The 8,883-nt window shown below is 39.1% G+C and overlaps 2 annotated features.

Annotated features, from left to right (window-relative positions):
* Positions 266-335: a silencer, noted in NCBI's record as "silent region_3835". NCBI's record gives its function as "represses an Ori minimal core promoter by ATAC-STARR-seq in GM12878 lymphoblastoid cells {active_cell/tissue: GM12878}" and the evidence as "EXISTENCE:reporter gene assay evidence [ECO:0000049][PMID:35858748]".
* Positions 1,171-1,220: an enhancer, noted in NCBI's record as "active region_5389". NCBI's record gives its function as "activates an Ori minimal core promoter by ATAC-STARR-seq in GM12878 lymphoblastoid cells {active_cell/tissue: GM12878}" and the evidence as "EXISTENCE:reporter gene assay evidence [ECO:0000049][PMID:35858748]".

Here is an 8,883-nt window from a genome sequence, read left to right as displayed (position 1 = left end):
TTGGAGGCAGAGTGAAGGAGGATTGCTGCTATAATGGGTTGGATATGTATTCACACAGTTTTGGGAACAAGGAATGTGTGAATGTTTCCTGTGGCCTGGATGTGGGTGGTAGATATGCAATAGAGAGGCGCTATGGAAATCATCTTAGATCCTTTCCATTACATACATCAGAGGAACAATGACCCTCACAAAAATGAAACTGAAGTGGGTCCCCCATTCCCTAGAGCTTGAAGAGGCATGAAGTGCAGGAATGGTGTGCATTTGCCCAGATCAGAGAAACTGCAGGTGAAAAACCACCGTGATATTCAGTTCTCTAAAGAAACCCCAAAGTGAGTCAACTTTAAACATCTGCCAGACCCAGCAAGTGTGAAGCCATCTTACAATATTACCAGTCAAATGAGGACTCTCCTATCCTCTTTCCTTTCTAAGCTCCTTGATCACCAGTCCCAGAGGGGTCAATAGCTGGAACGCAAGCTAGAGAAAGAAGAACAGAGAAGAGAAGAAGAACCAGCTTCTTTAATCTCTGCAAGTGGCCAGCCTATAGCAGGCTCTAATTTAGTTGTGGGAGGGGAGAAGATTTTAAATTTAATCAAGTTTAGAATTGTAATTATTATCTGGGACCAAAGATTTAAATGATTGAATTGACGCTGTGTTTACATCCTAAAGTGACTTTTAAACTTTTTTATTAGTTACAAGAGACCTAAAATCATGAACGATCTGGGATTTTTCATCCTGGAGCCACTTTACCTTGGCCATGATCTGCGTAAGAAAAAGGGATACTTTGCACCATGTCTGTCAATAACCAGGGAACTAATGACTAGACCCTGAGACCTCTGCTACAGATGCTCAGAAAAACAAGTGTCCTGACTACTGTGCTTGCACAAAGCAGCAGCAGCAGCAGGAGCAGCAGCAGTGTGACCTCTTATGCATGATGTTCACTTCCTCCCAAATCTGGCATGGGGCTATCTGCCTGACAGAATTGAGATCAGGTGCAGAACCAGAGCTGAAGGGAGATTGAGGATGTAGTCTTGCCTTTCTATTCTCAGGTATGCAGCATGCACAGCCATGCAAGGAGTTGGCACGGAATCAAGGCAACCAGCCTGCAGTGTCTGACAGAGTGCTCACACCGCACACCTGGCAATCTATGTCCGGGGTAGTTTCACCACATAAATGTGTTTACTCAAGAGAAAATTTATAAGAAATTGTCCACTTCATGGCCTCACTAGACCTGGAAGCTGACTACTCACTGCCATCCGGGTGTGACCCCCTCACTGTCTCCTGCTAAGTGCCAGCTGTTCCCTAGACCCACTGTTTCCTTAAACAACGAAGCTTCTCTTCACAGGTCTAATCAGAGAGCATTCATACCTTATCCAATTGATATGGTTTGGCTGTGTCCCCACCCAAATCTCATCTTGAATTGTAATCCCCATAATCCCCATTTGTTGAGGGAGGGAGGTGATTGGATCATGGGGTTGGTTCCTTTATGCTGTTTTTGTGATAGTGAGTGAGTGAGTTCTCATGAGATCTGATGGTTTTAAAAGTGTCTAGCATTTCCCCTGCTCGCAGTTCTCTCTCCTGCCACCTTGTGAAGAAGGTGCCTGCTTCCCCTTCACCTTCTGCCATGATTATGTTTCCTGAAGCCTCCTCAGCCATGCGGAACTGTGAGTCAATTAAACTTATTTCTTTTATGAATCACCTAGTCTTGGATAGTATCTTTATAGCAGTGGGAGAATGGACTAATACACCCATTCTCTGGGGCCCAGCTGAAGAGCTGCACCCTCCAGGAGCCTTTCCTTAGGCTTTCCACCTGGCTCCTTTGAGCACCTGCTTTTCTGTGATTTCACAGCATGTCCTGCCCAGAACATCATTTTTTTTTACACTGAATTGTGTAAACTTTGCTTTGTTTGCTCATTACTTCATTCATTCATTTAACAAACATGTAAGGACCCATTCAAGGTGCTTTGCCGGGTGCTAGGTGGTGAACAAAATAGGCATGGTCCCTGTCCTATTAAAGTTTACAGACTTGTATGGAGGAGACAGACATTGAACAAGTAAGCAAATATGTAAATATAAAATCCAGATTGCAATAAGAGTTATGAAGGAAAATTACAAAGTGCTTTGAGAGAGTAAATCAAGGGTCTGTCTTAAGTTGGGTGGTCGGAGGAGTTGGCCCCTAGGAGGTAATATTTAAAACAGGAAGTGTAAGTAGGGGTTAGATACATGAGCAGTAGGAGGAAAAACATTCCAGGCAGAAGGAATTATATGTTTAAAGACCTTGAGTCAGGGGAGAGAGCAAAGCATTTTGGGAATTAAAAGGACAGTATGTTTGGGCATGGTGGCAGAGGGTCAGTAGCAGGAGTGAGAAGAGCTTAGAAATATAAGCAGATCAGCCAGGCGCGGTGGCTCATGCCTGTAATCCCAGCACTTTGGGAGGCCTAAGTGGGCGGATCACAAGGTCAGGAGATCGAGATCATCCTGGTTAACACGGTGAAACCCTGTCTCTACTAAAAATATAAAAAATTAGCCAGGCGTGGTGGCGAGCGCCTGTAGTTCCCGCTACTCGGGAGGCTGAGGCAGGAGAATGGCGTGAACCCGGGAGGCGGAGCTTGCAGTGAGCCGAGATCGCGCCACTGCACTCCATCCCGCCTGGGCGACAGAACAAGAGTCGTCTCAAAAAAAAAAAAAAAAAAAAAAAAAAAATATATATATATATATATATATATATATATATATATATGCAGATCACATGGAGCCTTCTAGGCTGTGTTAAGAACTTTAGATTTAAATCCACGGATATTGGGAAAATTGTGAAGGGTTTATAGCAGGGCAGTAATATCACCCAATTAATGATTTAAAAGAACTCCCTAGTTCCTCAGTGGAAAATGGATTGCAGAAGAGCAGGAGCGAAAGAAAAGAAACTAGCTAGGGAGTAATCACAAAAGTCCAGGCAAGAGGTCTGGACAGTGGCTGGCCATGAGGGTGGTTGCAGGGGAGATGGAAAGACTGGTTTATAATTGTTGTTGTCTCCCAAATAGATCATGAGCTTTGTGTCTTTTGTGTATGCTGGGCATTTTCCTTGGTGAAAACCTATAGCTATACTCAGTAAGTAAATATAATGAATCAATACATTAATTAGTTAATTAAATACATGCTGTTTTAATCTCTTAAAAAGAGGAACTGATCTATATTAACTGGATCAAGCATTACACAACTGCTGAGAAAGCAATTATATAGACATATAGTCAATCCGTTTACTTTGCTAAGAAGACAGACTTGTTGCCAGAGTCAGTCTGGTTATTTTGGCCATATTAACAACCAAATAATGCAGACTACATGGTTATTCAGAATTATGTTTAGTCACTATACCAGTTCAAGAGAAAATCAATTCTATTTAGGTCAATTTAACTCTGTTCATTACATAGAGCATTGAATGCACAACTTAGCATTATAGTATACAACAGCAGTTCCTAAAAAAATTTTAATCTCATAAACCAATATTTTTTTCTAAAAATTGGGGGACTGCTTAAGGTTGATACTTTCAAGATTGTCAAGAAAGAGTATTAAATCAAACAACCAAACAGTTCCATACCTTAGCCACAAGCAACAAAAACTAATTCTGGCTGACAAGTAGAAAAAGATTTATGATGAGAGTTTTGTGGTCTGGAGACTAGCCAAACTACCATGAACACTGCCCCAAATCTTTGATATGATGGAGACACCACTGCCACTGTGGGTGCCATTAAGCAGTAGACGCCATAGGTTACACTGCTAATATCACTAATGCTGCCACTGATGGCACCACTAACTGACTTGTGGCCCTTGGAACGTGGATATGGCCATTATTGCTGCCACCATTCATCCCCAGAATGGACTCTGTACAGTCCTTGCTTCCCACACAGGGACTGGATAACGCCTATCTACAGTAGTGAAGGGGGATCTTCTTCATTCAATCTACTGATTCGAATGCTAATCTCTTCCAGAAATACTCTCACAGACATACCCCAAAATAATGTTTCACCAACTACCTGGGTATCCCTTTGCCCAGTCAATTTGACATACAAAATGAACAGTCACATGACCTAATCAAAGCATATAGAACACTGCAGAATACTGAGGATTTAAAATGTTAATATAAGGATTTTTATGAAGAACTTCATACCAATAATTTGAAATCTTTAGAAAAGATAGAACATTTCCTAGTAAAAATTTTACCAAATGTATTCAAAAAGGAATCGATGTTAAAAACCTAAATTCAGATACATGATTAAAAGTTTTCCACAAAGGAAATTACTGGCCCAGATAACTTCACTGGTGAGTTCTACCAAATGTTTAAGGAAAAAATAAGCTCAACCTTTTACAAGGTTGAAATATTAAAAGAAAGTAAACTCCTCTAACTTTTATGGGACTAACAAAATCTTGAGATTAAAACCTGACAAGGAGAATATGAGAAAAGAAAATTACCTGTCACTTTAACTTATGAAGTTGAATGTGAACAAAAAAAAAACCCAAAATGAATATTAGATGAGATATTATTACCAAGTCAGGTTATACCAGGAATGGGAGATTGGCTTAAAAATAGGGTACTTATTAAGGTAGTTTGCCTCAACAGCTTAAAGGAGAAATTCATCTGATCATCCCAATATATGCAGAAAAAGTGAATGAAAAAATTCATTTTCCAATCATGTTAGCACACTAATTCATGATTTTTCCCCTAAAACTTCTTACATGAAAAGATAATTCTTATGAAGAATAAAGAATAACCATAAAAACCTTCAGTGAACACCATACCTAATAATGACATATTAGAAAGCTTTTCCTTTGAGGCCAGGTACAATACAAGGATGCCACAATCAGTAGTTCTATCTAACTTTATACTGGAGGGCCTCATGAGAACAGTTACACAAACAAGAAAAAGAAATAAAAGATATAGGGATTGTAAGGATTGAAAACTGTTGCTATTCATAGATAATATGAACATATGTACTGAAAATCCAAAAGAATCTACAGATGAGTGATTAAGAATAAAAATTAGTAAGCTAGCTGGATATAAAATCAATGTACAGAATCAATACATGACAGTTGTGGAACTATAGAACAACCCAAGTGTCTATTAATAACAGATAGATAACACACACCGGGGGACTGTTGTGGGGTGGGGGGAGGGGGGAGGGGGGAGGGATAGCATTAGGAGATACACCTAATGCTAAATGAGGAGTTAATGGGTGCAGCACACCAACATGGCACATGTATACATATGTAACAAACCTGCACGTTGTTCACATGTACCCTAAAACTTAAAGTATAATAATAATAAAATTAAAATTAAAAAAAATAACAGATGGATAAATAAATTCTACTATAGTTATGTAATGGTTTATATATAGTAATAAAAGTGAATGAATTATAGGTACATGCAAGTATATGGATGAATTTTACAAACGTAATGTTGAACAAAAAAAACAAGGCAAAAAAGAGTTATAACATACATTACAATTCCGTTTACATGCAGTTCAAAATCACACATAAATTATGCTAAGTGAAGGAGCCAGACAAGAAGTGTATATATGGTATGATGGCATTTATATAAAAGTCTACAGCAGGCCAAACTAACCTATAGTGATAGAAAGCAGATTAGTGGTAGCCTGGGGCTGGAACTTGGGGGATTTACCACAATGAGACACGAGAAAATTTTTTGGAGTGATGGAAATTCTGTATCTTGATTGGGCATGTACATTTGCAAAACTCAGCAAACAAAGGCATGTACATTTGCGAAACTCAGCAAACTAACTTTAAATTGGTGCATTCTATTGTAGATAAAGTATGCCATACTAAATATAACACATTTTAAATGTAGGCACAATAGTAAAATTATGAGGAAAATGAAAAAAATGATTATCCCCCAAGCCTGACCAATGGTTACTTACAGGGAAAGAAATACACGGGGGTAAGGGAAGTTCTAAAGTCTTAGCAATGTTCTATTTCTTGACCTGAGTATGACTATATCAGTTTCATTTTACAATTATTTTGTTAAATTGTAAATATATGTTTTATGTATATGTATGTGTGTTTCTGTGTGTATGTGTATATTTCACAATAAAACAAAGAAGTGAAAACATAGCTAAATTTAGAAAAGAATGTTTCCTTCTCTGGCCATCGATGTAGTGTACAATCATGAGGCTCTTCTCATTCCTGTTTTCAGTTGGGGAAGGTGGTGCAAGGAACAGAGCATATTAGCAGTGATCATGTTAGTGGAAGATCCTAAGCACATTTCTTTGAATAAGTTATGCCAAATGCCTTGTTTCAAAAAATATTTTTGCTTCAAAAATCTCCTTTACATGTAGGTAGGGGATTTGATCCCTACTTCAGCATTGACTGCAAGAGAGATTTCTCTGGATTTTGGGAAGAAGACCCAAGAGAGGCTTAATACTCCTATAAAGTGAACCAGATTCTTTGTATTGTGGGTTAACTCTCACATGTACACTTCTCAGTAAGGTTTTTCTTCATACATTTGTCTTTGATCATTACCATGTTTATATTCCCAGAAAAGTGCCATATAATTTTCTGGAAGTGGGTTGGTGACCTTATCAGTCAAGATAAATTAGATTATGCTGTGGTAATAAAAAATGGCAAATGGCAAAATCTCAGAGAACTGATAGAACGTATGTTTATTTCTCATTCATGCCAAATCCCTTGTGGGTCTAAGTGCCTCTGAAGGCAGTCACTGTCCGTGTGGTACAAGGCTGCCATTCTGGGCTGCTTCAGTCTCATGGCTATTCTGTATCTGCATGCGCTCCCACAATCGCCAAGGTGGCCAAGACAGAGCTGGAGAGTCAAACACTGGTAATGAAATGCTTCCATGCGGAAGTTACGTATGCCACATGTTTCACTGGCTAAGGCAAGGCCTATATGTTTACTCCTGTCTTCAAGCAGGCAGGGAACTGCCAATCTCTTACATGTCAGAAGAAGAGGAGAACTGATACACCAGTGAGCAACATAATGTCCAGCACAGTTACCTATCAGAATTTGGCCAAAATAAATTTTATATTTTGTAAAGATGAATTGAATCCTGCTTGAATGAGAAGTGCAATGGACGGAAGTTTGTGTCCCCTTGCCCAACTCATATGCCAAAACCTTAATTCCAATGTGATGGGGTTTGAAGGTGGGGCCATTGGTAAATAATTAGGTCATGAGGGTGGAACCCTCATGAATGGGATTAATACCCATGTAATAAAAGGTGAGATAGAATTTAAAATTTCTAGTGTGTGTGTGTGTGTGTGTGTGTGCATGTGCGTGTGTGTGTGTTGAGACATGCTTTTGCTCTGTCACCCAGGCTGGAGTGCAGTGGCGTGATCTCAGCTCACTGCAGTCTCCACTTCTGAGGCTCAAAAAAAATCCTCCTGCCTCAGCCTCCTGAGTAGCTGGGACTACAGTCATGTGCCGCCATGCCTGGCTAATTTTTGTATTTTTTGTAGAGACAGGGTTTCGCCATGTTGACCATGCTGGTCTCAAACTCCTGGGCTCGAGATCCAACCACCTTGGCCTCCCAAAGTGCTAGGATTACAAAGTGCTAGGATTAAAAAGTTCTAATGTTTAATAGCAGACTATGGTGACTATACTTAGCCACAGTATTTTGTGTATTTTAAAGTGTCTAGAAGAGAGGACTTGAAATGATACCAACACATAGAAATGATAAATACTCAAGGTGATGGATGCTTCAAACACCTTGACTTGGTAATCACACATTCTATGCATATAAAAACACTCACATGTGTGCATAAATATATGAAATATTTGTATCAATAAGACAAAAGAACCAGAGAGCAAGCTCACTGTTTTTCTGCCACATGAAGATACAACAGAAGTTGGCAGTCTGCAACCAGGAAGGAAACTTCACCAGAACTCCACCATGCTGGTACCAGGATCCTGGACTTCCAGCTTCAAGAACTATAATAAACAGAGTTCTGTTATTGATAAGCCACCTGGTTTATGTTATTTGGTTATAGTAGCCCCAGTTAAGATGCATAATGATGTTAGTGATACATTGCTTTTGTTTAATACTTTGGAGTTTATGAAGCATTTTCCTAACATATTTTCATTTATTTATTCAGCAAAAATTTTTAAGCATGATTATGGGCTAGCCACTCTGCTACGGACCAAATATGTGAGTAAGACATAGGCTGTACCCTTCCCCATGAGGATATCATGTGGTAATCACAATATAAAAGCCCGTCAGGGCACAGTGATGGCCCAGAGGAGAGAGTGCTCCTCACCATCAGGGATAGAAAGAGAAGACTTCTTGGATGATGTGATCTTTATTTAAGCTGGTGTGTCAAAGATAAGTAGGAGTTTATCAGGCAAAAGGGATAGGGAAATGGCAAAGACAATTCAGGGAGTTAAAAAAAAAAAAACGGATGCACAAAGGCACAGGGAGTTGTCTCATGTGCTGCCTGCAAAACCCCAGGAAGTAGGCATTTCCGACTCTCGCAGTTTTATAGATGAGGAAACAGAGACACAAAAAGTAAGTGATTTTCTCAGGCTACATACCTAATACAAGGCAGAGTAGAACTCAAGTCTTTTAACTTCAAATCCCATATCCTAAACAGTTAGTAGTATTGTTTAAATAAAATGCACATCTTAAAATAATGAACATATCTAATTCATTCAACTTATTTTGACTATACTAATGCCTGGCATAAAATGAGTATTCAATAAATAATGGTAAAATGTAACGCTGTAGATCACTCTGCCTTCTATGTGCAATGTGCTCCATACAGGCAGAAACCATGTCTCTTTTGTTCATCATTATATCTCTGGCTTCTAGTACAGCGTATGACACATTATGGGGTTCTCTAAAACATTTATTGAATAAATAAATGAATGAAT

Source organism: Homo sapiens, chromosome 11 (genome assembly GCF_000001405.40).
Source record: "Homo sapiens chromosome 11, GRCh38.p14 Primary Assembly".
Taxonomy (NCBI): domain Eukaryota; kingdom Metazoa; phylum Chordata; class Mammalia; order Primates; family Hominidae; genus Homo; species Homo sapiens.
This window is presented reverse-complemented; position numbering and strand designations above follow the sequence as displayed.